At 55.8% G+C, this 26,079-nt stretch overlaps 2 protein-coding genes across 17 annotated transcripts in view, besides 1 other annotated feature; one reads left to right on the forward strand and one right to left on the reverse strand.

Annotated features, from left to right (window-relative positions):
- Nucleotides 1-2,545: 2,545 nt before the first annotated feature.
- CAPS (calcyphosine) lies at nucleotides 2,546-4,503 on the forward strand. Of its 2 annotated transcripts, none has more exons than NM_004058.5 (5): nucleotides 2,546-2,601; nucleotides 2,677-2,781; nucleotides 2,855-3,032; nucleotides 3,232-3,438; nucleotides 3,513-4,503. In NM_004058.5, exons 2-5 carry the CDS (start codon nucleotides 2,699-2,701, stop codon nucleotides 3,612-3,614), a joined length of 570 nt encoding a protein of 189 aa, NP_004049.3. In that variant the 5' UTR covers nucleotides 2,546-2,601; nucleotides 2,677-2,698; the 3' UTR covers nucleotides 3,615-4,503. The 2 variants fall into 2 exon arrangements, with proteins under 2 accessions (NP_004049.3, NP_542157.3); NM_080590.4 differs by having other exon boundaries at nucleotides 3,232-3,357.
- Nucleotides 4,431-26,079, reverse strand: part of RANBP3 (RAN binding protein 3) — a 62,002-nt gene continuing 40,353 nt past the window's right edge. For 12 of the 15 annotated variants that reach the window (XM_047439569.1, XM_011528394.2, NM_007320.3 and 9 more), the window contains 12 exons: nucleotides 21,706-21,771; nucleotides 20,744-20,836; nucleotides 19,696-19,823; nucleotides 16,260-16,379; nucleotides 13,926-14,029; nucleotides 13,119-13,197; nucleotides 12,104-12,206; nucleotides 11,486-11,595; nucleotides 9,493-9,613; nucleotides 6,788-6,930; nucleotides 6,086-6,272; nucleotides 4,431-5,945 (listed from right to left, as the gene is read on the reverse strand). In XM_047439569.1, coding sequence (XP_047295525.1) covers nucleotides 5,902-5,945; nucleotides 6,086-6,272; nucleotides 6,788-6,930; nucleotides 9,493-9,613; nucleotides 11,486-11,595; nucleotides 12,104-12,206; nucleotides 13,119-13,197; nucleotides 13,926-14,029; nucleotides 16,260-16,379; nucleotides 19,696-19,823; nucleotides 20,744-20,836; nucleotides 21,706-21,771 — 1,298 coding nt within the window. In that variant the 3' untranslated portion in view covers nucleotides 4,431-5,901. The remainder of the gene's footprint in view (nucleotides 5,946-6,085; nucleotides 6,273-6,787; nucleotides 6,931-9,492; nucleotides 9,614-11,485; nucleotides 11,596-12,103; nucleotides 12,207-13,118; nucleotides 13,198-13,925; nucleotides 14,030-16,259; nucleotides 16,380-19,695; nucleotides 19,824-20,743; nucleotides 20,837-21,705; nucleotides 21,772-26,079) is intronic. The other 3 variants (XM_047439570.1, NM_001300865.2, NM_003624.3) reach the window with 1 other exon arrangement.
- Nucleotides 16,164-16,253: an enhancer, noted in NCBI's record as "active region_13818". NCBI's record gives its function as "activates an Ori minimal core promoter by ATAC-STARR-seq in GM12878 lymphoblastoid cells {active_cell/tissue: GM12878}" and the evidence as "EXISTENCE:reporter gene assay evidence [ECO:0000049][PMID:35858748]".

The following is a 26,079-nucleotide window of genomic DNA, read 5'->3' on the forward strand; positions in this document are numbered from 1 at the left end:
GCCACCCTGCCACCCAGGCTGAAGTACAGTGGTGTGATCTAGGCTCACTGCAACCTCTGCCTCCAGGGTTCAAGTGATTCTCCTGCCTTGGCCTCCTGAGTAGCTGGGATTACAGGCATGCACCACCATGCCCAGCTATTTATTTTTTTTAGTAGAGATGGGGTTTCAAAATGTTGGCCAGGCTGGTCTTGAACTCCTGACCTCAAGTGATCCGCCCACCTCAGCCTCCCAAAGTGCTGGGATTACAGCTGTGAGCCACCGCGCCCAGCCCTGGCCTCTTTTTTTAAGTTATTTATTTATTTTTGAGACAGAGTCTCACTCTGTCGCCCAGGCTGTGGTGCAGTGGCATGGTCTTGGTTCACTGCAACCTCTGCCTCCTGGGTTCAAGTGATTCTCCTGCCTCAGCCTCTGGAGTAGGTGGGATTACAGGCACCCGCCACCATACCTGGCTAATTTTCTTTTTTTTTTTTTGAGACAAAGTCTTGCTCTTGTCCCCCAGTCTGGAGTGCAATGGCACGATCTCGGCTCACTGCAACCTCCGCTTCCCAGGTTCATGCAATTCTCCTGCCTCAGCCTCCCGAGTAGCTGGGATTACAGGCACATACCACCACGCCCAGCTAGTTTTTCGTATTTTAAGTAGAGACAGGGTTTCACCATGTTGGCCAGGCTGGTCTCAAACTCCTGACCTCAGGTGATCTGTCTGCCTCGGCCTCCCAAAGTGCTGTGATTACAGGCATGAGCCACCGCACCCGGCTGACTAATTTTTGTATTTATAGTAGAGACAGGGTTTCACCATGTTGGCCAGGCTGGTCTCGAACTGCTGACCTCATGATCTGCCCGCCTCGGCCTCCCAAAGTGCTGGGATTACAGGCGTGAGCCACCGTGCCCGGCCAGTTTATTTACTTATTTTTAAGAGGCGGGCGTCTTGCTCTGTAACCCAGGCTGGAGTGCAGTGGTGCGATCATAGCTCACTGCAGCCTCCAACTCCCGGGCTCAAGTGATCCTCCTGCCTCAGCCTTCCAAGTAGGTGGGATTACAGGAACACACCACCATGCCTGGCTAATTTTTTGTAGTTTTTGTAGAGATGGGGGGGTCTCACTATGTTGCACAGGCGGGTCTCAAACTCCTGGGCTCAAGTGATCTTCCTGCCCTGGCTTCCCAAAGTGTTGGGATTACAGGCATGAGCCACCGCGCTCAGGCAAGGCAACTTCTGACAATATAATTGTGCTGTGAGCGAGGTAAAGCCAGGCTTGGAGAAGGCTCCGATTGATGATCCTTGGGTCGGGGCGAACAGTGGGTCCTCAAACAGGGCCCACGTTTCAAGTCCTGGAAAACCCACCTATCTTAGCGGGCAGGTATATCCGATGTCTCCGTTGAAGGCCTTCAGTGAGGTGGCTTCGTCTCTTGAGGTTTATGTCCAGGATCAGGGCTGCTCTTCCACTCGGGGTCACAACCTCTGGCTCACCACCTTGTCAGGAGCCAGCCCACTAAGTCACGTTTCAGGCCTGAAAACCAACAACAAAAGATCCGTAAAGACAGAAATCCTGGGACTGGCTCCTAACAACGGCCAGTGACAAGCTTTGTGGCAGTGAGCAGAGGTGTCCCTCAGGCTCAGCTCAGTCTCTGTGGGTTGCAGGACCTGCCCTTGGAGGTGGGCCTGGGTGGGAGGTCTTAGGGCCCCAGGACCTGGGCCACCTGGGGCTTTTTTTTTTTTTTTCTTTTTGAGATGGAGTCTTGCTCTGTCGCCCAGACTGGAGTGCAGTGGTGCAATCTTGGCTCACTGCAAGCTCCACCTCCTGGGTTCAAGCGATTCTCCTGCCTCAGCTTCCTAAGTAGCTCGGATTACAGGCGCCCACCATCATGCACGGCTAATTTTTGTATTTTTAGTAGAGGCGGGGTTTCACCATGTTGGTCAGGCTGGTCTCAAACTCCTCACCTTGTGATCTGCCCACCTCGGCCTCCCAAAGTGCTGGGATTACAGGCATGAGCCACCGCGCCCAGCCCACCTGGGGCATTTTTGTTGCTGTACAATAGAAACAAGTTCTCTATATGTTCCCCAGGCTGGTCCAAACTCCTGGGCTCAAGTGATCCTCCCACCTAGACCTCCCAAAGTGCTGGGATTTCAGGCATGAGCCGCAGTGGCCGGTCAGAACCTGGGGCCCTTTTGAACTTTGATTCCTCAGCAATTTTGTCAGCCCTGGCTCGGGCTGAGAAGCCCCTGTGAAGCCAGAGAGGGAAAGGGACCTGTCCAGGGTCACACAGGAATCATGCGTCAAGCCTCCCCAGCCACGGACTTGTCTCCATCCAGGGCATTTCAGCCCCTGCAGGGCAGTGGCCTGCCCCTCCTCCTTGGAGCCAGGAAGGGATGCAGTGCCACAGGGATCTGGCTCTGTCCCAGGCCCTGTGGGGCTGGCAGTTGAGTAAGCAGTCAGGCTGGGCGCACCCATCCCTCCCCCACTCCCCACTGCCCAGCACAGTGCATTCATGCAGCTGGGCCCCACCCCATCTCCAGAGGCACCTTCCACTAGCAACAGTCTCCCCAGGCACAACACAGCTAACACAAGGCCCCGCAGGCAGGACTCTGGGACAGACGCAGGCCAGGTGAGCATCTGAACAAGGGGCAGTCGGCCAGGGTGGGCTTGCGGGAGTCCCCACCTTGACCTCTCTCCCTTCCAGCTGCCCAGAGCCCAGACCAAGCATGGACGCCGTGGATGCCACCATGGAGAAACTCCGGGCACAGTGCCTGTCCCGCGGGGCCTCGGGCATCCAGGGCCTGGCCAGGTGAGCTGTCCCCTCTCACCTTCCTGACCCCGGCCCCTGAGACCACTGTTCCAACCGTGTCCCCTGCCTCCAGGTTTTTCCGCCAACTAGACCGGGACGGGAGCAGATCCCTGGACGCTGATGAGTTCCGGCAGGGTCTGGCCAAACTCGGGCTGGTGCTGGACCAGGCGGAGGCAGAGGGTGTGTGCAGGAAGTGGGACCGCAATGGCAGCGGGACGCTGGATCTGGAGGAGTTCCTTCGGGCGCTGCGGGTGAGCCCCCACCTCACAGTCAAGGCGTGTGCCCTGGGCATGGGGCGACAGAGGATGCTGAGATGCGGAGACGGGGACTCCTCCCTAAGAGCTGCTGTTAAGAGGCGCCTGCTGGGGCATACAGCCCCAGTGCTCTGCACAGCGTCTTGGGGGTTTGGGTGTGCTACCCACCACCCCCAGTCACCACCTCCTGTCCCAGCCCCCCATGTCCCAGGCCCGGGAGGCTGTCATCGCAGCTGCATTTGCCAAGCTGGACCGCAGTGGGGACGGCGTCGTGACGGTGGACGACCTCCGCGGGGTGTACAGTGGCCGTGCCCACCCCAAGGTGCGCAGTGGGGAGTGGACCGAGGACGAGGTGCTGCGCCGCTTCCTGGACAACTTCGACTCCTCTGAGAAGGACGGGCAGGTGGGTGGCTGCGCGGGGGGCCCCCTCCCCAGGCAGTTCCTCGGCCGTGCCCCCTCACGGCCCTCTGTTCCCAGGTCACACTGGCGGAATTCCAGGACTACTACAGCGGCGTGAGTGCCTCCATGAACACGGATGAGGAGTTCGTGGCCATGATGACCAGTGCCTGGCAGCTGTGAGCAGCTCCGGCTCAGCCCTGCTGCCCTGGCCTGTCACTCCCCACCCCTGCCGGAGACCTCCCTTCCCTGGGCCCCTTCTCTCCTGGGCAGCCACACCACAGAGCGGGGAGGGGCAGGTGGGGGAATGGAGGCTGCAGGACTGGCTAGACCAGGTCCCTGCCGGTCCACCAGGCGGAGGTGGGACAAAGGTCCTAACAGGAGTCACTGGCTCAGGACCCCAGGGAGAAACGCTCTCCCCACCCACGCCATGCTGACCAGAGATCTTGCAGCCCCTGTGGATGCCCCCGCCGAGGTCCCCCGATCCCCGCACCCGGACTGCTGCTCCCTGCCCCTCCCTTGCGGGTCCCCCAGGAAGCCAGGTGACCCCAGGTGGGAGGCTGTGTGTGGAGGCCATCCTGGAAGGAAGTTTAGACCTGCCCAGGTGTGGAGCGAGGGGCACAGGGGCATCCTAACCTCAGAAACTGAAATAAAGCCTTTGAAAAAAAAATCTGTAAAACATCAACCCCCAATCAGAAGATGGCAAATGGGGAATAAAAATAGCAGGTAACATGTCCAGCGGGCCCAGTATCTACATTCTGGTGAGCGGCCCGAGGCTGGGAGCTCTGGGCGGGGGCAGACCGGCGGGGCCTTGCAGCAGGGGTGGGGGTAAAGTGCGGGTGGTGGTGGAGAGAACAGGGCTGTGGCTGGACCCCAGCACTGGTGACACGCTGGGTGGGAGCATGAGGCCCCAGGCTGCTGGAGGTCCTCGCCCGGGGAGGTGGAGGCCGTTCCTGGTCAGGGGCTTCCTGAGGCCCCTGGGGCATGCAGAGGCCAGGGTTTTAGTTAAAAGTTTAATGTAGTTCCCAAATACATTTCATATGACAATCTTACATAAATGTTCCAAAACACATGGGCGTTATCTCGTTGTACTCGTCACTAGCTGGCTAAGGCTTAAAGCAGAGACGTGTGACTGGGTCTCTCGGGAGGGCCTCTGGTTCTTCCCGGGCTCAGGCTTGCTGGGGGCTGGGGGCCAGGGCTCTGGCGACCTAGAGGTGTGGACGGCACAGCTGCAGGAGGCCTTCTCTTAACCCTCCGAGAGTGGGACTGGGAGATTTCCTCTGAAGTCCCAAAGAGGCCCTGTGCCCAGGGGACCTCCTCCTCGGCCTCCCAGGTGGGTGGTGCAAGCTGGCTCTTGGCCATGCTCCAGGCTCGGGTGGGCACAGGCGTCCACTCCAGTGTGCTGCGTGCTTGTGAGACTGCCTGTTCTGGGACCAGCCCCTGGGCTCTTCCACCAAGATTTGGTGAGGGTCCCCCTCTGCCTCTCACAGAAGCCCCTGGCCCTGGACTGTCCTGGGGGCAGGGACACCTGTGGCTGGGGAAGGGATGGCCAACAGCGGGAAGCAGTTTGCGCCTGGTGCCTGATGATGGTGAACCACGTGACAGATGGAGACGGGAGTCAGGGGACCCTGGGGACCCTTCCAGGTCCAGTGACCTTTTCCCAGACAGGCACTCTCCAGGCCTAGGACAGACAGGGCCCCAACTCCTCATCACCCCATGACTTGGCCTGGAGGAACCTGGGGTGGGAAACAAGTAGTCCCCCAACCTCAGAGGCCAGAACCACAGGTGGGGGACAGGGACCTCGACAGAGCTGTGCCTGCTCAACGCTCGAGAGCATCTTAACCTAAGAAACCAAAACAAAGCCTTCGAAAATAAAAAGAAAAAAAGATGTAAAATATACACCCCCAATCAGAGAGGGGAAGTGGGAAATGAAGATAGTAGTTAACAGCACGTCCAATGGGCCCAGTGTCTACACTCGTACGAGCAGCCCCCCAAGCTGGGCGGGGGTCCCAGGCCTATAGTTGGGGAGCCCTGGGCAGGGGCAGAGGGCTGGCTGCTCCCCACAAAGGCAGGGCCCCACAGCAGGGTGGGAAGGGTGTGGGTGGCGGAGAAGCCAGGGGCTCTGGCTGGACCCAGAGGCTGGCGACACGCGGGGTGAAGGAACGAGGTCTCCAGTCCCAGTGAGAAGCCGTGACAAGTCTTAATGTGCCATTTCAATTCAAAGGAGGGGAGGGAGGAAATGTTCTTGTTTGTTCGCTCATCAATATGATGAGGTCTCGTGTCCCAAACCACATTCAGGCAGTTCCCGAGTCTGCTTTTGAACAGGACGTGCGGGTCCAGACTGTGGCCGGCCCAGTGGGGTGTGTGGTTCCCGGCCCCGCACCTGGACGCTGCCGGTGGGGTGGGGGCGGGTGGGCGGGTGGATAGACGGACAAAGCAGCAGCCTGGTGTGCAGCCGGGCTCCCGGCCGCTATGTGCTCCCGGTCGTCTGCCCGTCCCCTTCGTCACCAGCACCTGCAGGGAAGCAGCAGCCCCGCATCAGGATGGAGCCCGCACTTCCCAGGTCTGGCCACCCCCGCCAGGAGATCAGCACTGGATCAAGGATGGCGGGCAGCTCTTTCTATCCCCCCCAGGGTAGGGACCACCCGACTCACCAGCTGCGGTGGCCCCTGAAGGAGCCAGGACATCGTCATCGTCGCTGTCGTCCTCCTCGTTGGATGGGGCTGCCCCAGGCTCAGGCGCGGGCATCTTGGCCTCCTGCTCCTGCTCCACGCGGCTGCGCAGGGCCAGGATGCGGTGGTGCAGGGCTGCATACAACTGACCTGTGTCCTTGGAGCTGGCCTGGGAAGGGAGGAGGGTATGAGACCCCCGGACCCCAGTCCTACCCCCTCCTGCCTTCTGCAGAACACAAGTGCCAAGTCCCAAGGTTCAGAGGTGACACTGCCACAAGGCCTTGTGGGGAGGCCATTGGCCCTGGGCCTGCCGGCCTCTCCCCGAAAGGATGCCACCACTCCCAGGTGGCTGGGAATATCCCAGAGGTCAGGGTTGGTGGACTCGACTGTGACACCATGACATAGGAGAGAGGTGACCGCCCCACAGGGCTGTTAGCCCTGAACACATCACAACCCCTCAGCCAAACCCCAGCGGCTTCTCTGGGTTGAGAAGAGGACAAGGACCATGATCTCTATTCCTGAAGGCTGGGACTGGCGGGTCCCATAGTGCTTCTTGTGTCCCAGGAAGCAACTGAAGCCCCTCCCCCCTCCCCTCCCCACCGTCCTGCCTGATCTGTGTGCCCAGGAACCCCCACAGGGCTGGCAGGATGAGGGGTCCCAGATGCACCCGCGTGGCTGGCTCACCGAGATCAGGAAGACCTTCACGCCCTGGTCCTCGGTGTCCATGGCTGTGATGCGAATGCTCTTCTCGCTGGCCTTGTCGATCTGCATCTGGGCCCACAGCTTGGTGTTGAGGATCAGTCGCAGGCTCCCCTGGGTCCGCATCACTACAACCAACAAGGCCACTCAGCCCTGGCCCCCACACCGGCCCCCTCACAAACAGCCAGCTCCAAGAGCCAACACAGTCCAGATGGAAAGCGACATCACCGCGCAAAAGCCCATGATCCTCCCAGGACCCACCCACAGAGCAAGACTTCTCCCTGAGGCCAGCCCTGGCACACCTGCTCCCGGGGCGGGGCTCCTCCTCCCCAAGCCTGGACCACTGAAGGCCACAACTGCAGGTGGCTGCACAGGCTGGTGCTGCAGATCAGTGACCAGAGGCCACATGCAGCTTGTGGGAGGTTGTGTTTGGTCCACACAGGTGGGCACCAGGATGGCAGTTCCCTTGGAGAAGGGGGGATTAGAGAGGAGTACGGGGTGGGCTGCGGGAGGCAGGGGCTGACACTCAAGGTGCATGCGCTTTCTGTGTGTGTGAGACATCGGCCTCCATGGGAGTCCACGTCCTCCTGACTGGCCTCCCCTGAGTGGGCCAGCCCTGCCCTCTGGTTTCCTTAGGAGAAGGCAGAGTAGGACCGCAGCTTAGCGCTTCCATGGAGAGGAGACGAGAGGACTGTGGGCAGCAGATTACGGAGGAAAATGGGAGGGCCCTGACTCTTCTAGAGGATGCAACACCCCTGCGCCTGGCCTGGGCCCACCCCGTGGACTCAGCCAAGCCCCTACCTTCCTGCCAGCCGCCTCTCCCCACTGGAGCAGGCCTGGAGACGGTCAGAAACTTGTCCCCCTGCCCTGGCCCAGCGAACAGACCTCCCTGAGCCCAGGTGCCCACCTCAGAGGCCGAGTGGGAGAAAGACAGAGGTGATTTTGCTCTCCCTGAAGCTGGGGAGGGTACTGCTGCCACGGGGCTACAGGCTGATGACCCAGGCAGAGGGGATGACCTGGGGGCTCAGGGCTCTATGCCCTCTCTTTCCATGGACATTTGAACATTTCCACGAGACAAAAGGAAAAACACAAGAAGACGTCCATAAGGCTGGGCACAGTGGCTCAAGCCTGTAATTCCAGGACTTTGGGAGGCCTAGGTGGGCAGATCACCTGAGGTCAGGAGTTCGAGACAAGCCTGACCAATGTGGAGAAACCCTGTCTCTACTTAAAGTATAAAAAAATTAGCCAGGCTTGGTGGCGGGTGCCTATAAGCCCAGCTGCTCGGGAGGCCGAGGCAGGAGAATCGCGTGAACCTGGGAGGTGGAGGCTGCGGTGGGCCGAAACGAAGCCACTGCACTCCAGACTGGGCAACAAGGGCAAAACTCCGTCTCAAAAAAAAAAAAAAAAGACGTCCATGGGGAACAAAAGAGCAGTCCCAGCCTGCAGGGACATCCCCTGTCTGTTCTGACCAGAGCAGTGTTTCTGATTGAAGTGCATGAACACTACCCTTCAAGGGGGCTGCTTGAGTTACTGCTGGGCCTGAAACCCATATTTATGAAAAGGCCAGAAGACACTTTGATTTGGGAAGATAAAACAAAAAGATGGTCCCAGCGCAGTGGCCCACGCCTGTAATTCCAGCGCTTTGGGAGGCTGAGGTGGGAGGACTGTTTGATGCCAGGAGCTCAAGACCAGCCTGGGCAACACAGGGAGACCTGTCTTTATAAAGACAAAAATAAAAACATTAGCCAGACGTGGTGGTGCATCTGTAGTCCCAGCTACTCAGGAGGCTGAGGTGGGAGGATCACTTGAGCCCAGGAATTTGAGGCGATGATCACACTGTATTCCAGCCTGGGTGATGGAGTGAAATCAGCTTTAGAAGGAAAAAAAAGACACGCCCACATTTCAAATGTGCACACACACAGGCTGATTTCCTTAAGTGGGTGTGTGTATGCAGGTACTCCAAGCTAAATGTCCACCAATAGGGAAAAGTCCATTGACTGTCAATGGAATATTAACATGAAAGCTTTTCAAAAACAGTATATTTTATTTTTTTTTGAGATGGAGTCTTGGTCTGTCGCCCAGGCTGGAGTGCAGTGGCTCAATCTCGGCTCACTGCAATCTCCGTCTCCCAAGTTCACGCAATTCTCCTGCCTCAGCCTCCCGAGTAGCTGGGATTACAGACATGTATCACCATGCCCGGCTAATTTTTGTATTTTTAGTAGAGACAGGGTTTTGCCATGTTGGCCAGGCTGGTCTTGAACTCCTGACCTCAGGTGATCCGCCCACCTTGGCCTCCCAAAGTGCTGGGGTTACAGGCGTGAGCCACTGCGCCTGGCCAAAATTTGTCTTTATCAAGAGATTAGACTTGATGTTTGATTTCATTTTCCTTTCTATCATAAACCTGCCACTTTGTCAGAAAATCAGCTTAAAAACTTCCATAGACTTTTGTCCATTTTGACACTAAGAGGGTCACGGACGAGCTGGCAGCTGGAGCCAGTGTGTGAGGGTGGTGTTGAGGGCTGGGTGCAGGGAGGGGGTTTGGGGGGCGGCTCTCATGGGAGACCGACTCTGTGCCTTGACTCTCACAAGGGTAGGGTCAGGATCTCCCCCGCTTCATTCCCTTTGGAATTGCATAGTCCCCAGCCCTCCCCATGGGGACCCGGCCACAGCCCCCGCCGTCGGCAGCTCACCTAGTCGGGACTGTAGTGTGCCGTCATCGGTGGACGCCATGTCATTGAGTCTGAGCAGCCCCCGGCCTCTCTCCACCCAGGACTGTGAGGTCTTGTCAAAGACAAACAGCTTGCACTGCATCTGGAACACAGTGGCCGCCGGTAAGCAGGGACCCCAGCTGGTGTCCTGCTGCAGCCACACCCTGAGAGTCGCCCTTTAGCCTGTGGGGACTGCCAGGGCCAGCCAACGACGGCCTGGGGGCCACCTTGGTCAGTTTTTTGTCCTGCCCTCAAGCTAGAACAGGCTTTACATTGTATAAGGGGTATCTGAAATTAAAAGAATCACTAAGGAAATGAAAAGCAAAACAACGGTGAGAAGCCTCTCTGCGCACTCTAGGACGGCTATACCCATGTGGGGAAGCTGGAACCCTCACACACTGCTGGCGGGAAGGCCGCATGGTGCCACTGCTGTGGAAGAGTCTGGCGGCTCCTCAAACTGCTTAACAAGGAATTACCACATGCCCAAGCAATTCCATTCCTCGGTATGTACCCAAGAGAAATGGAACATTTGTTCGTGTTCACACACAGATCGCACATGAACGTGCACAGCACCATCATTCACGGTAGCCAAGTCTCAAGGAGGAATGGAGTGACACACATGGTCCGCCCCTACAGCGCATCTCACTCAGTCTTAATAAAGAACAAGGCTCCGACCCCCGCTGCAACGTGGATGAACCTCTGGCTCAGCGAGAGAAGCCAGACACGAAAGGCCACATAGTGCGTTGATGCCATTTATATGAAATGTCAAGGACAGGCAAAAAACAGAGACAGGAAGTGGATCTGTGGCTGCCAGGGGCTGGGGAGGGAGGAGGAGTTACTGCGAATGGACAATGCTCTTTCTGGGGGAATGGGACAGTGTTCTTTTTGGGGGCAGAAATGTTGTACGTTAGATTCTGGTGAAAGTTGTCTGACTCTGTGAATATACTAGAAACCACGGAATTGTATGCTTTAAAAGGATGGATTATATAGCATTTGTACTATATTTCAATACAGCAGTTTTGTATATATAAACAAAGAAAAATACGAGACAGACACCCCTACATGGCTTTCCACATACCCCCTAAGTCAATCTCTTTCAACATGAACAGATGACAAAGTGGTAAGTGGGAAAAAAGAACAGTGCTCTTAAGAACGCCACGATACGCCACCCGGTTTACAGACACAGACACCTGCTTATGTGCCACGGGAGAGGAAGCACATGGATGCTGCCCAAGCCGGGTGGTGCGGCCTGAGGAGCAGGAATGGGGGATGCCAGGAGGGGACGGTGGGGTGGAACCTCTGGCCGCACCTGATCTTTTCCCTACGAAGACACCACAGGATGCCAGGTGACAAATAATACAGTTGCCAGCTCTGGGCGACAAGAGAATATGTTTGGTATGACAGTCTTTGTCATTCCCTGAACCATCAAAAATGTCTCGGGCTGGGCGTGGTGGCTCACGCCTGTCATCCCAGCACTTTGGGAGGCCGAGGCGGGTGGATCACATGAGGTCAGGAGTTTGAGACCAGCCTGGCCAACATGGGGAAACCCCGTCTCTACTAAAAATACAAAAATTAGCCTGGCGTGGTGGTGCACACCTGTAATCCCAGCTACTCAGGCGACTGAGGCACAAGAATCCCTTGAACCCAGGAAGCAGAGGTTGCAGTGAGCCGAGACTGTGCCACTGTACTCCAGCCTGGGTGACAGAGTAAGACATTGTCTCAAAAAAAATTAAAACAAAACAAAGAATGTCTCAAACAGATCCTCCTCCTCTGAAACCAAAGACATGCAAGAAGCCCCTGAGCCTAAGCTCTCTCTACAAACGCCACCAACAAAGTCCCAGAGCGTGGGGCCAGTGGCCCCTCCGTCATCTCAGGGGCAGGCCTGTGTGCTCAGAGGATGTGGGCCCAGCCCTTGCGGTTGGACCCCCAGGTGCATGGAAGACCCAGGGCCACCGAGGAGGGGCCGGCCCCTCACCTGTAACACATTGCTCTCCGCCTCCTCCCCGGTGATGACTTCCACTTTTTCCAACAAACACTTCCGCGCTGTTGCCTTGGTGTAGGCGGCTGCCGACTCAGCCAGGGACTCTGAAAAGTTATTGGCCAAAAAGACTGACTGATTATTTGGCGAGAGGAGAGCCATCTCCCCTCATCCGACAGGAGATGAGAGGGTTGGTTCTGGTCTCAAGGACGCCTGCTGCCCCTGGCAGGCCTGCCCCGGCAACCCAAGTGGACCCTAGACACAGCCAGAGCATATGGCCTCAGAAGCTGCAGGGAGACCATCTGGGGGCCAAGTGTGGCCCCAGACTCTCGTGTTCGTGCCGAGCAGTCGACGGGGGGACAGTGAGGGACTCCTCCACGCCTGCTGCCTGCGCCTCCCCACCCTCCCCACGGCCACAAGGCGACACAGGCCCTCGAGTTCTTTATCACAAACCCTTGCTCACTGCAAGGCAGGGCCCTGGAGCTGGTTCACATGTGGTTGTTACTGCTGCGGGAGTCGGGCCCCTTATCCCTCCCGGCTGGGGGTGTGAATGGACCCAGCATCCCCCAAGATGACCTACCATGAGCCCCATGCTGTGGTGGGACGCTAACATACCTTTCTCAGGGGTGGCCTCCTGGGACGAGGACTCAGACCCTGACTCGGCAGCTGCATTTTCCCTGTTGGCATCTGAACTGACCTCGTTTAATTTTGGGGGGCTCTGCAGGGACACAAAAGCATACAAGGAAGAGGGCACTTGTGTGGTCCTTCAGCAGCAGCTCTGAGCACCTCTCTGCCTGGCCCCCAACACTACGCTGCCCCCAGCACTCCTGCCCACTCCCGGTGACACCCTGAACTGCCTGGGAGCTCCCCACGTGGTCCCTCAGGCATCACTACGGGGTGAGTGCCACCAGCCGACAGTCCCCTCGAGCCACACTGGTCACTCCGTCTGGGTGAGGCAAGACTTTGAACATTTCATTGAAATAGAAAAAGCACAGCGTGGCCACGAAGGAAGAGAAGCTGCAGAGTACTTAATGCAGCCTAACTCCAGACAGAGCTAGAGTGACCAGGCGGCTCAGGACAGGCCCTCACGCAGTCGCAATGGAGCTGGGTGGAATCAGGAAGAAAAAGGAACATGTGTAAAGAGGTAGGCAAACCATTCTAGAACCCTCTCCCAGGCTGGCTGGGCTCCTGGGAACGGAGATGGGCCTTTCGTGCACCCAAGGCCTTGGCCGCGGTTATGCTCACAGGAGCAGGGAGGCCAGCAACCCTGTCCACCAGCACGGCTGGCTCCGTCCCACAGGACTTTTGTCAGTTGGCCTGGTGGGGAGGAACCATGGACCCCGACTGCCAGCAGGACCCTGCAGCCTCCAGGGAAGCCCATCTTGGGATGAAGTTGGCCCTGGTCAGCACGGAGGAGCCGGGAAAAGCGAATGCCAGTTCGTAGGCAGCCAGTGGCCCTGGCCAGTTTTCAGGCTGAGTCTGAGCAGGGTCTTCCCTCTCTCACTTGCTACTGAAGGCATCCCCATCTCACATAGGACGACACAGCAGCCCTGCTCTCCATGTCCCCTTGACCTGTGGCTGGCGCCGAGAGCCTCTGGTCCCTGAGAACATTCCCAACACAGCCACTCACCAAAACTCGCTCGCTCATGTTCTGGCCAAATACAAATTTGTTGCTGGAGGCGTCGGCACTATTGGTTGAGTTCTCTAAACTGAAGAGAAGATGTGCAATGAGTGTGGGGCGTCACGTGGGAACGTGGCCAGGCAAATGTATGGGTACCCATGGAGCACACACTGACACAGAGGGCACAGTGGAGGGGCCTCCGCCACTGTGCACGGGGTGGCGTGTCAGAGGCAGGAAGCCACACACCTCCCTGTGCCATTGAAAACATTAACCCTTAGCTCGCCCTGATGGAGGGGCCCCACAGCATGAGGGAAGCCACCTTCCACCTGCTCTACCCGCCCATCTCCCAGTCGGGACACGCTTTCTTCTGAGACACCTGGAGGGGCAGCTGGTCCGTGGGTAGCATTACCCCCAGCCATGTCAGTCAAGGACATGATGAGGTCTTTGCCCCAGGTGCCCAAACCCAGAATAAGGGGGCGCCTGAGTCGCCTCTGGCCTGCTCTGTTCTGCTCTGGGCATGAGGTCCACAAGACAGAGGGCACACTCCAAGGGCTGGGCTGTAGCCTCCATGGGCCCCTGGACAACCCCACAGAACTCTGGTCCTGTCTCAGGCGTCCAGTGAATCCCAGGACAAGGCCCACCACCCTGGCCCACCCAAGGTTGTGCCCAGAGTGGGGAATGAGAGAGAGGGGCCTGAGAGCAACCTGGATTCTGGGCCTGAGTCGGGCACGGGGACCACAGACCCCTCTCTGGCAGAAGCCCTCGCGGCCACCTGCATCGCCATGCCAGGCTGGCCGCTGACACCGAGACACACACCTGGAACTGATATACTGGAGGAAATAGTTCGTTGCGGTTGGCGTGTCTGCGCTGGGGTGTCCAGCATTCTCCATGTCGGCTTCGTCCACGCTCTCATTTATCAGCTGGGAATGAGACGGAGCGCTCAGTAATCGGGGGTGGGGGGGTGCCTGGAGTTCCACAGCTCAGTGTCTGCAGACCCCCTGAGCTGCATGGAGCTGCTCGGAGCCATGAACCCTCTCCTGTACCCGCCTGTGTGTGTGCGCGTGCATGTGCTGGGGGGCAGGGCTATAATCAACTCCATCACCTTTTGCTTTAACAGTTAGGATGGAAAGAGAGCTCATGAAGCTCCAAGGAGCCTTTTCCACCTTGTTACAAAACCACGCCTTGTTATAAAACCACGCCTAAGCTGGCCTCTCGGTCAATGCTTCATACCAATAACACAACGTTACAAAGCTGACGTTTTGGGGGGTTTACTATGAACATGATAGAAGCAGAATTTCTTGAGGGCCTCTTTCCTACCAGCTGCTATGCTGAGTCTGTCAAATGCACGATCTGCTTTAATCCTCACGAGGCCTGGGAGGGGGATGTTAGGGACCCTGTTTGACCAACAAGGAAGCAGAGGCTCAGAGGGTTAAGAAACCATGGCTCTGGCTGGGCGCGGTGGCTCGTGCCTGTAATACCAGCACTTTGGGAGGCTGAGGCGGCGGGGAATCACTTGAGGTCAGGAATTCGAGACCAGCCTGGCCAACATGGAGAAATCCCCACCTCTACTAAAAATACAAAAAATTAGCTGGATGTGGCAGTGGGCGCCTGTAATCCCAGATATTTGGGAGGCTGAGGCAGGAGAATCGCTTGAACCCAGGAGGTGGAGGTTGCAGTGAGCAGAGATCATGCCACTGCACTCCAGCCTGGGCGACACAGCAAGACTTCGTGTCCAAAGAAAAAAAAAGAATCCATGGCTCAAGTTTGCCCTGGAAGGAGAGGCTGGGATTTGACTGAGACTGCGAAGTGCACGTAAGCCTCTGACTTCTGCAAGAAGCCAACCCCACCAAATTCAAAGCAGCTGTCTCCCCAGACTCAAGGCAGAGATTCCACAGGGCCTGAACTCCACAGGCCAAGCCCTTCCCCGCCTCTTGCCCTCCCTCCTTGGAGGGAACAGCCCCTGAGGGACTCATTATTTTGCCTAAAGCCATGGCAACAGCAACATCAACTTTCCACGTTTCTCGACTTGGGCTTCTGTTGGACGGTGAGTAACAGAAAGGAAAGCAGAAAACACAAGCCGGTGCTTTCTGCATGCTAGAGAGGTTTTTGTTTATTTCAGGGCCCTCCCCGTCGACACTACTGACATGTTGACACTGGGCCCAGAACATTCCCTGTGGTGTGGCTATCCTGGGCACTGCAAGGGGCGGAGTGGCATCCCTGACCTCCAGAAGTACCTCCCAGTTGTGACAACCACAAAAGTCTCTAGACACAGCCACCGATACCGCCTCTCGAGCTTTGAAAGAAGCTTCTTGCCAGTGGAGCTGCTAGAGATGCCGTAGCACATTCCATGTCTGTGGCTGGGAAAGGTGGTGCTGGCTGACCCTGGTCTTCCTAGAGTCCCAGTGCATGGTCCAGGGCCACTGTTTCCAACCACTGCCATCCCTTCCCCACCACACAATCTCCAAACTAGGACCACATGTCTGGAGGGCAGCCAAGAGGTGGCAGACGCTTTGCTCCCTTTCAGGAGAGAAGACAGTGTTGTCACCCCACCCTGCCCCACTTAAAAAAAAATAAGGTGACAGTTCTTAATGGGGGCGATTCTACTCCACAGGGAATACTGGCCACGTCTGGGGACATTTGTGGTTGTCAGATGTCAGGAGCATTGGGTGGGTGGAGGCCAGTGATGCTGCTCAGCACCCTGCAGTGCCCAGGGCGACTCCTCAGAAACTAAGAATGGTCCAGCCGTAATGCTGCTAGTGCTGAAACAGAGAAACCCTGAAATACGGGAACAGAAACCTCTGGGCAGAGCTGAGAACACTGGACCGTGCTGTCTTTCTTCTCTGCTATGAAAGCCTGAGGCCTCAGGTTCAGTCACCTTCCCTGTCCCCGCTACCATGAGAACCAGGGACCCTGACTTGAGAAGTCACTGCAGGTGAGGGCTCCGAAGCCTGGGCTGCTGGTGGGGAAGTGCCAGGGCCCAGCACACGCACACCAGCAGCAGACTGTGCCGTGAGCCATGGGGCTGCCTCGCTAACACCTTCTTTGTCCCACGCTCCCCTCCCCTGTTAAAAGGAAAATCTACCTACTTGCCTGCTGTTGAACCTGGGGAAGGCATAAAAAGTCAATGTGCTGGTTCAACAGCTCACATACCTTAACTCTGTCCCTCAAGTTCTGCCCAAATACAAAGGCTTGCTGTGTGGCGGGGTCTTTTTTCTCACAGGCTTCCTCTTCAGAGGCATTGCTGGACTCATTTTTCTGGGGCTCTTTCTCCTATCAAAAACCAAAACAAAACAGAGTAATCAAAACCAGTGCCACACTTGGCCCAGACGGATGCCCAGCAATCCCACACCAGATCATGTACTCCACACGTCTCCTCTGCATGTGCCTGCACTCCCAGCTACTCAGAAGGCTGAGACAGGAGGACTGCTTGAGCCTGGGAGTTGTAGTGAGCTGAGATCACACCACTGCACTCCAGCCTGGGTGACAGAGCAAAAACCTGTCTCCAAACAACAAGAAACACCTGTGCCCTGCAGAAGCCTTAGTGCCGGCAGAGGACAGGAAATAACCTGGTTGCTCATCATTGGCCAAGGAATGAAATAATTTACAATAGAAAATATGGGGGAAAAAAAGTACAGCACAGCTATTACCACCGAGAGGGAGGTAGGCCTCTGACATGCCCACAATACATGGATCAGAGAAGAGAGCAGCTTGTGGGACACGGAAGTGCGATTCCATTTCTGTTAAAGCCAATCCAGTCCCGTGTGTGTGGTGTGTGTGTGTGTGTATGTGTGGTGTGTATGTGTGTTGAGGAATGCCCAGGAAAATAAGTCGGGAGAGAGAATTCAAACTACTGACGGAGGTTACCCGGGAACCTCTTAGCTGGAGGGTGGCTCCTGCTTGTTACTTTCTAGGATTTCCATTTTGTGTAAATATTTTCAACATGTAGGCATGACTTTTTTGTAACTAAATATCCTAAGACCAAATGCATTTATCTTGAGATAATGGAATATGGAGTTGCTAGTAATTTGTATATGTCTTTCCTATACCACATGATGAAAAAGGTGTTGTAGAATTTGAAAAGAAATTTTAAAAGGCTTTTGGCAGATCTTTGGAGTCTCTGGCGATGTGTACAGTGGACATGAACGTGAGGCAGGGAGTGTTTTCCTGGGAGATGTCGTGAAGGGACCTGACAACCGTGAACTCGGAGGTGAGAAAGGCTGCAGGCAGCTTCTGACTGGCTCAGCGTGTCCAGCGGGCAGGGAAGCCTGGAGTTACAATGCCAGGCCCAGAATCAGCGGATCACAGCGCTGAGGGCACTTTCTGGTCCAACTGTGAAGGAAGTGAAAAGTGTAAATGTTTCTCTACTGTGCTCCCTAGAAATTCTGCTACTGCTGACTTCACGCTGCATCCTTGTGCCTGTGCAAGAGTGAACGTGGCTTTTTAAAATTAAACACACAACGTGTTTGGCGACCTGGAAGTCCTCAGAGGATGGGCTAATCCCCAGCCCCACTGGGGCCGCCTGCATCCCGTCCAGCAGAAACACTCCCTGGCTCTTGGCTTTCTGCGCTGTGTGCCCCCTGCTCACACCGACTGGTGCTAATCCCGGGTGGGTGGAGCCCACAGAGTCACCTGAGATGGGGCAGGCAAACAGCAAAATGTTTCTGACTACAGGGTATGTCTATGACCTGGCGGAGCCTGCTTAGAGGATTCGCTTAAACTGATAAACGAATCCCGAGGCCTGTAACCAGTCTGAGACTCTGTGTGTGTGTGGGGCGGGAGGGGAAGCCTCTTCCCCACTTTCCCAAAGACGGTACCAGGAGTTCCCCCATGGGTCGCCCCCAACATCTAAGCCCTCCTTAGAGGAGATGCCTCATAGCTCACGTTCCCGATGAGCAGTGTGTGCCATGTTCATGGGCGGCTTGGAAAAGCTCGGACTCCTGCTGTAGGGCCAGAGAAGGATACACACAGCGAGCCTGGCGAATCTCAACAGTACTGGGTGTGGTCAGAGGGCAGCGTGGGTGTGGCCGCATGGCTCCACCCCAGACCCACATGGAGCAGTGGCTTTGGAGCCAGACGCAGGAGCTGGGAATGGCAGCCAGCACATCACAACTTCTGAGCTCAACCATTTGGGAACAAGCTGTGTGCACTGCTGAGAAGGGGCTGGAACCGGCAGGAAGACGGACTCCGTCCCCTGGGATGGGACACAGCAAGGCCTCTCCAGTGAGGAACAAGCTCTCGGTAGCGGGTGCTACCAGGTCAGCCTGTGCACTCACCATCGGGGACAATCAGAGACACTGGGAGATGGCGGGACGGGCTGGGTCACTTCTAAGTCCTTCTCCAACTCAGAACTGCACACCTGATCTGCTCAGGAGACCTCAGCAGTCAAAGCTTCCAAGCCGCAGAATGCGGTGGAAATGATCCCTATTTCCAATTCAGCAAACTCGTTTGAAAAAGGGCGTGAGGATGTTTTCAAATTTAATTGTGGACAGCCATTTTCACCCTTTGAGCCAGAACATCTACTGGGGATGGAGGGTATAAAACTGCAGGCCATGGACACAGAGCGGAAAATAAACACAAAGATCCAATCTGGCTTTTACACAGAAGATACCACATGGTGTTACCCTAATTCTGACTTCAAACCCATCTCTGCCAACTTCAAAGGAGGCTCTTCATCAAAGGCCCTTATTTCACAGTGGCTGTGAAACACAAAGCTTTTGGCCCATATAATCCAAACCATACCCCCGCTTAAATGGAACTATTTCTTTTTTTAAGGCAGGGTCTGGCTCTGTCGTCCAGGCTGGAATGCAGTGGTGTGACCTCGGCTCACAGCAGCCTCCCCTTCCCGGGCTCAAGCAATCCTCCAGCCTCAGCATCCTGAGTAGCTGGGACTACAGGTACATGCTACCATGCCTGGCTAATCTGTGTATTTTTTGTAGAGACAGAGTCTTGCTATGTTGCCCAGGGTGGTTTTGAACTCCTGGCCTCAAGCAATCCACCTGCCGCGGCCTCCCAAAGTGCTGAGATTGCAGGTGTGAGCTACCGTGTCCGGCCTAAACAAACTATTTCTGAGATGACTCCCAAAGAAAAATTTTCAACTGGAACCACACAGATAGGAGTCTCTGAGGGGTGGTTTGGGTGTGGACACAGAGAGGGGAGACATTCCTCATGTTAAACATTGCAAGACACCCATCAGTGACAGCCGTTCCTCGGGCCCTAGTGACTCCTCAGAGTGCAGTGGTTCAGGTCCTCCCTCAAGGATCACTCCCGTGAGACATGTGGCGGTCAGCCTTGGGTAACAGGCCCTTCCGGCAGAACTCTGGGCAACAGGTCCTTCCGGCAGAGCTTGCTTGGGAGACACTCTTCTTCTGCCTGACCAGCAAGACCACCCTTGGGAATCTAGATCTGGTTTGTCAGGTACTGTTATTTAGAGCCTACTGAGCAAATCCAGAGAGCCTTACAATAGGCCCACGTGGAAACTGCTTGGAACAGGTGACAGCGTGTGGACTCCACAGCATGCTGGGAAGGCTGCCCTCCCGCTCCCAAGGGGCCTAGCATGCAGCGCTTCCCTGCCTCAGGACCCACTGACCTCAAGTGCACACACCTCATCGGCAGCTTCGGAAGGACTTCTCCATGCAGCAGTGTCAGGGGATGCTGCGGGCACTGCCCCCGTGCAGTCTGCTGGGAGGCTGACCCCGTTGGTGCCACTGCTGGGGACTGTGGGAGGGAAGGAGAGTGGGGAATCACAGGTGCTTGGCGGCCCTCCCACCCCCACTCACATAGCTGAGGGGCTGGGCCACGTCTAGTCTAGGGCCCCTCCCATGGTAAAGCCCACAGCACATGTCTCCTTTTTAAGGAAGGACCTGGTATCTCTACAAAGAGCCAAAATTCTTGGATTTAAAAAAAAACAAGAGAAACAAACAAAAAAGAGAAACCTGCCGGGCACAGTGGCTCATGTCTGTGGTCCCAGTGCTTTGGGAGGCTGAAGCGGGGAGAATGCTTGGGGCCAGGAGTTTGAGACCAGCCTGGGCAACACAGCAAGTCCTCGTTTCTAAAATAAGATAAAACAAACTGGCTGGGTGTGGTGGTGCACACTTGTGGTCCCAGCTACTTGGGAGGCTGAGGTGGGAGGATCGCTTGAGCCCAGGAGTTCGAGGCTGCAGTGAGCTATGATTGCACCAGTGCACTCCAGTCTGGGTGACAGAGCAAGACCCCATCTCCAAAATAAATAAATAAATAAATAAATAAAATGACCTTTCAAGTTTTTAAAGATAACCTGTGAAAATTGAGGCTGAAATTCTATCTGCAAACACACAGGGATAAATCTCATTCCCAGGAGCCGGCCTGCTTTTATGAAGACAGTGAATGAACAAAGCAGGTTTCACCCACACAGTCACACTCAGCCGAGAGCTGTGAGGAAGCTGTGGAGCCGCCTCTCCCTTCTCCGTTGCCAGGGCTCAGGAGGCTTGGGGCTGGAGACGGCTGGGGGGTGATTTAAAGGATCATCTTCCCTGATCTCTCTGTATTTCTGGTGCATTCAGCAGTCACCTCTGTCGCAACACTGCTGTCCCGGGTGCGACTTCGGGAACGCTCTACCCTGCCGTCTGGGCCTGGGCGCCAGGGCTGCTGTTTCTTACCAGTCTGGGACAGCGCCTTTGGCTGCGGAGCTTGTAACACTGCCGGGCGAAGCACGCTCCGCTGCTGCTCCTTGGGCTTCTGGCTTGGCAGACCTAGGAACAGAAGGCGGCCTTCCCAGTGCCCGTGGACCCCTGCCTGCCCCCAGGCGCTTCAGAGACTGACCCCTGGCATCCCATTTCATGCCCCTTGCAGGCTAGACTTTGCAGGGAAGCACTTTTTTAAAAACTTGAGGTCTTTTTTTAACAGCTGGCCAGGAGATCTGGCTACTGTTATTTTTACATGTGATTACATGAAACTCCCAGTGACCGACGCCTGTGAATTAATCCAGTTAGCACAGTAACGTGGCGGGGCGCCGGCAGACTCAACAGTCAAGTGGAGACTGTGGGAGGAGAGCAGTGCATTCACAGGCAGCTACCTGGAGGCTCAGGACTCGGTGTGGGGTCACGTACAGGCACATTTTGCACCTGTTTTTCAAAACAGCCATGCTGAGGAAGTCCCTCTGCCAAAGGCAGATGGGACAAGGACCCTTGCATGTGCCCTGCCCTGTGCAGCATCCCCGGCAGCCTCACTAGCAGCCGGCTCACTAGCAGCGCGCCGCTGGAATGCAGCCACCCTGCTAACTGGGGCGAACACTGTGGTATGTGGGGGCCAGAACATGAAGGACAGACAGGCTGAACCAAGTGCGCTACTGCTGGGCATGGAGCCCGCCCGATGCACCCCGCCTAGCCTGCTCCCGTGCCACCACTGCCCACTTTTCTGAACACACGACGCTCACAGTCAGGGGTCCCAACCTCCCTGCTCAGACAGCCTCTCTTTAAAGGAACTTTCCAGGGCTCGTGGGTCAAGTTACAAGTGATCTTTCTAGAAAGCAGGCTGAGCCCGCGGTGCCCTGGTGTGGCCTAGCAGAGGTCTGAAAAACGTCAGAGAGCCACCCCCCGCCCCAGGGAGGTAGACGACCTACCTGCGCTGGGGGCTTGGCCGTGGATCAGCGTTGGTGGCTTCAACCGGAAGCCACTGCTCCTTTCCTCTAAAAGCACAAGACAAAATATCAACAGCAGGCCTGCCTGGGCTGGGGCTGGGCCTGGGGGGCAAGGGCAGGAGAGGACTATGGTCTTGGCCTCAGTGACTTCGGGCCTGGAGAACCAGGGAGAACATTTCCAAATTACAACAGAAGTCTCGTCCGATCAGCAGGCCTGGAAGGCGCCTGGAGGAGGGGAGAGACAAGGGCAGGAGGAACGATGGCTCTTGGGCCAGCTGCTGACCATGGGGGCAGGTGGGGCGTCAGCCGCCCTCCCAGCTGTCTATGACCTGCTGCAGGCTCAGGAGCCGAGCTGCTCAGCGGCCCTGTACCTGGCTCTGGAGAATGTCAGGGAGCCACGGAACACAGGCGCTCAGGCCCCACTTCCCTTTCCTAGAAGGCTTGTCTGTCAGAGGATGCGGCTGTGGCCAGGAAGAACCTTGGCACCACTACAGATGTCTGGGAAGTGAGACAGGTTTTTGTGATGAAAAGGTCAAAGGTGGCACACAGTGAGCCTGCCTCCCCTTTCCAGATGTGCCTGCGGAGCTTCCCGTCTCAGTGAGGGGGCACTCCTGGCCACCGTGGAGGAGGCCAGCTCCCCCTGGGCCAGAGTCCGGGCTGACAAATTCACAAAACTAGAGGGAAAGGTGAATGCCCACGAGCTCCTGGGATGGCTCGAGAGCCCAGCCTCGCCCAGCCACCTGTCCACATGGACCCCTTCATCTGTGTGTCTTGGCAACTGTGCCCATACAGGGAGTGGGGATGGTGGTCTAATCTGATCCACAACAGGAAGGATTGTCATAAAAGGCCTGTGACTCAGGCAGGCAAGCCTGTTCCTGGGCAAGGCACAGAGACTGTGGCATTATGGCTCCTGGAGGTAGCCCTGCGTTTGTGCTAAGCTTCACCCCCTTGTCAAGCTACAGGACACAAGATCAATATACAAAAATCGATTGTGTTTCTAACACTAGCAGTGAATGACCCAAAAGCAAAATTAAGAAAATAATTCCATTTACAATAACACCAAAAGGAATAAAATACTTGGGAATACATTTCACAAGATAAAACTATAAAACAATGTTAGGGCCGGGTGCAGTGGCTCATGCCTGTAATCCCAGTGCTTTGGGAGGCTGAGGCAGGAGGACTGCATGAGCCCAAGAGTTTGAGATCAGCCTGGGCAACACTGCAAGACCCTAACTCTACAAAAAATTAAAAACTTAGCCAGGCATGGTGGTACATGCCTGTAGTCCCAGCTACTCAGGAGGCAGAGGTGGGAAGATCACTTGAGCCTGGGAGCTTGAGGTTACAGTTGAGTTACGACTGTACCACTGCACTCCAGCCTGGGCGACAGAGTGAGACCTTGTCTCAAACAAAACAAAAACATTGTTGGAAGAAATTAAAGGTGTAAATCAAAAGAAAAACACCCCCTCATGCTGTCTGATTGCATTTCTGTGAAATGCCAGACTAAGCAGAAAGGAGCTGAGCGGTTACCAGGGCTCAAGGGAGGGGGTTGGGGGCAGGCTGTGACTAACAGGGATGAGGTTTCTTTTTGGGATGATGGAAATGTTCTAAAATTAATCACGTGATGGTCGCACAACTCTGTGGATGTACTAAAACCACTCAATTGTACACTAAAACGATGACAACAAAACCCAAAACACCTTGTCAGCCCAAATTTTCAGACTCCAAATCAAGATTCAGCAGGCCAAGGAAGACCCCTCTCCCGCTGTGCCCCGGAGGCGCCGCTGTGCCTGGGCAGCAAGAGGATTGCAGCAACCCTTCTTACTATAATAGTTGTATGAGGGAGTCCAGCCCCAGGGGCTTCTGGCAGCCTGTGTTAGCAGAGCTGGTGCCTCTCCCGTAACAGACTGGTCATAAAAAAACAAACTCAGGAGAGCCAGATCCTGCAGGATGCGGGGGTGAGCCGCCAGATGTTCCTTTTCCGAAGGAAACACTCAATTACATTTCCAAAGCACGGAGCTATGCAGAAGACGACTGGCAATTTAGATACATTTTTAAAAGGTCAAATTCACAATTTAGATAGTTTTTAGCAAGCTCTTCAAGCTGGCTCTCCACGCTGATGTTTTGGTCACAGACTGACTACTGCCCTTCCACACTCCGCTCCGTGCAGCGCTGGCGCTAACGCTGAGGGGAGCCTGGGGGCTGGCCCGAGCTGCCAAGCGGAAGCAGGAGACTTGGATAATCCCTGCCACCGACCTGCCACTAGTGCTAGGCCCAGAGCGTGGCCCTCTCCAGAGCTGCAGACAGACAAGGCGTGCTCCAGGGGTAGCCAAAATCTGGAGGTCCCTGTCACAGGCCCTGCTCCACGAAAACAAGGGTGGTCTCTTCTCATTCCTTCCAGAAATTTTCTTCTGCAACACAGGTCGCAACACAAGCTGCTGAATCATGGCCAGAGCCCGACGCCTGCCACATACCCAAAGGGTGTGGGCCTGTAGAGGATGCTGCACCAGTCTCTGAGGGATGCGCATCACTCCAGAGAGGAAGAGGACCCCTCCCGCCGGCAGCCTTTGCCCTCCTGGGAAGCTGGCAGGCTCCCTGTCTGAGGGTGCTTTTCGCCTGCCTCAGAGAGCCCCAAGTGATGTCTGTGGGAAGCCATGCTTGCCCCCCAGGGAGCCCCGATTTAACCAGGGAAGGGATGGGAATGAGACTGTGTGCATCAAATGCTGAGAAGGCAGCCTGGCTGGAGCTGGGGTCTGTGCGTGGACGGCGCTGGTGCAGGGTGGGGAGGAGGCTCAGCCATGCGGTGGGCAGGGAGTGATGCCTGATGCACAGAGGACAGAGGGTGCCGGTTTCTTAGTGCCAGAAGAGGGAGGAATATACCAAGGGAGGCACCCACGTGCCCCTGGCGTCATCTCCACATGCAGGCAGGCAGGCAGAAAGTAAGAGATCATGTGGACAAAGGTGTGTCCCCAGCTCTGTCCGTCATCTCCACATGCAGGCAGGCAGGCAGGCAGAGAGTAAGAGATCATGTGGACAAAGGTGTGTCCCCAGCTCTGTCCGCGGAGGGCCGGGAGCAGGGCTACACCTGAGTCAGTGAGATCGCAGTACCGCACGGAGTGATTTCAGACCTTGGTTTCTAAAGACCATGTTCCCTGAAGAACCAGCGTGCCTCTGAGAAATGCAGATTCCAGGACTGGGATGAGAAAAGAGGCTGAGCCGGGAGGCTCTTGTTGTGACAAAGTAAGGGCAGTGCTCAAATGAACAACGGGGACCTGCCTGACAGGGCTTCCACTGGCCAAATCTGGGACAACCTGAACATTAAATAAAAACCAGTAACCATAGACGGTCACCCACTGATGCCAACAGAAGCTCGCCTGTCTATGTTGACACAATCGATCAAGGAACAAGCACGTGGGGAGAAGGGCAAGCTCCTCCTTCCAGTGAACACCACTAATCAACGCGGCAGGGATGGTGCTCAGAGTATCCCACGGGTGGTGAGTGCCTGTAATCCCAGCTACTTGAGAGGCTGAGGCTTGAGAATCTCTTGAGCTCAGGAGGCAGAGGGTGCAGTGAGCCAAGATTGTGCCACTGCACTCCAGCCTGGGCAACAGAGCAAGACTCTGTCTCCAAAAAAAAAAAAAAAAAAAAAAAAAAAAGGAAGAAAATCCCATGGGGCAGTCGTCAGCGGGAAACATCACTCTAAAGACATCACTGGGCGCGAACACTGGAGGGCAGGAGTGTGATGAGGTACACACAGTCCCAGAGTCTAAAGTGTCTCTCAGAAACCATCCAGCACAAAGGGGAAAGTAGCTTTACAGTGGTGAAACCTGGCAGACAGCACCCTGATCGAGGAGCACGGCCACCCCGTGCTGGTAAGGGGACAAGTGAGTACTGTGCATGGCTTCTGTGACATTCTCATCCAAGATGCCACACCTGGGTCTCACCACCAGGACATACTGGACAGGCCCCAACTGAGACACTTCTACCCAACAGCTGACCTGTAATCCTCAAGGTCATGAAAGTCAAGGGAAGCCTGAAGACCTGTTCCCGATAAAAGTGGAGGTATGTGTGGTAGGACCAGGGTCTCAGTCCTTTTTTCTAATGGACTCATGGAGCTGACTGGAGAAAGCTAAATGGGGTCTTCAGACAAAAGGGACAGAGAAATTCTTCTGTAAGTGTTAAAGCTTTTCAAAATTAAAGCTAAAAAACAGAAGGCAGGCAGACAAGGATGTGAAGTTGGGTTTGCAGAACTGATGTGTGGCTGATATGACTGCCTTTTCATGCGTGAGGGCACTGGGGCTTTAAACCATGCCGCGTCGGGGCCTGCGAAACAGCTGCCCTGCTCGAGGCTGGAGGGGA

The sequence above is a fragment of the Homo sapiens genome, chromosome 19 (genome assembly GCF_000001405.40).
Source record: "Homo sapiens chromosome 19, GRCh38.p14 Primary Assembly".
NCBI lineage: Eukaryota > Metazoa > Chordata > Mammalia > Primates > Hominidae > Homo > Homo sapiens.

What these genes read in the sequence shown, in the direction of transcription:
- CAPS (NM_004058.5), top strand. Translation starts at nt 2,699, where the DNA reads ATGGACGCCGTGGATGCCACCATGGAGAAACTCCGGGCACAGTGCCTG. An exon ending in GGCATCCAGGGCCTGGCCAG is followed by an intron (nt 2,782 to 2,854) that starts GTGAGCTGTCCC and finishes CCCTGCCTCCAG; the next exon opens with GTTTTTCCGCCAACTAGACC. An exon ending in CCTCTGAGAAGGACGGGCAG is followed by an intron (nt 3,439 to 3,512) that starts GTGGGTGGCTGC and finishes CTCTGTTCCCAG; the next exon opens with GTCACACTGGCGGAATTCCA.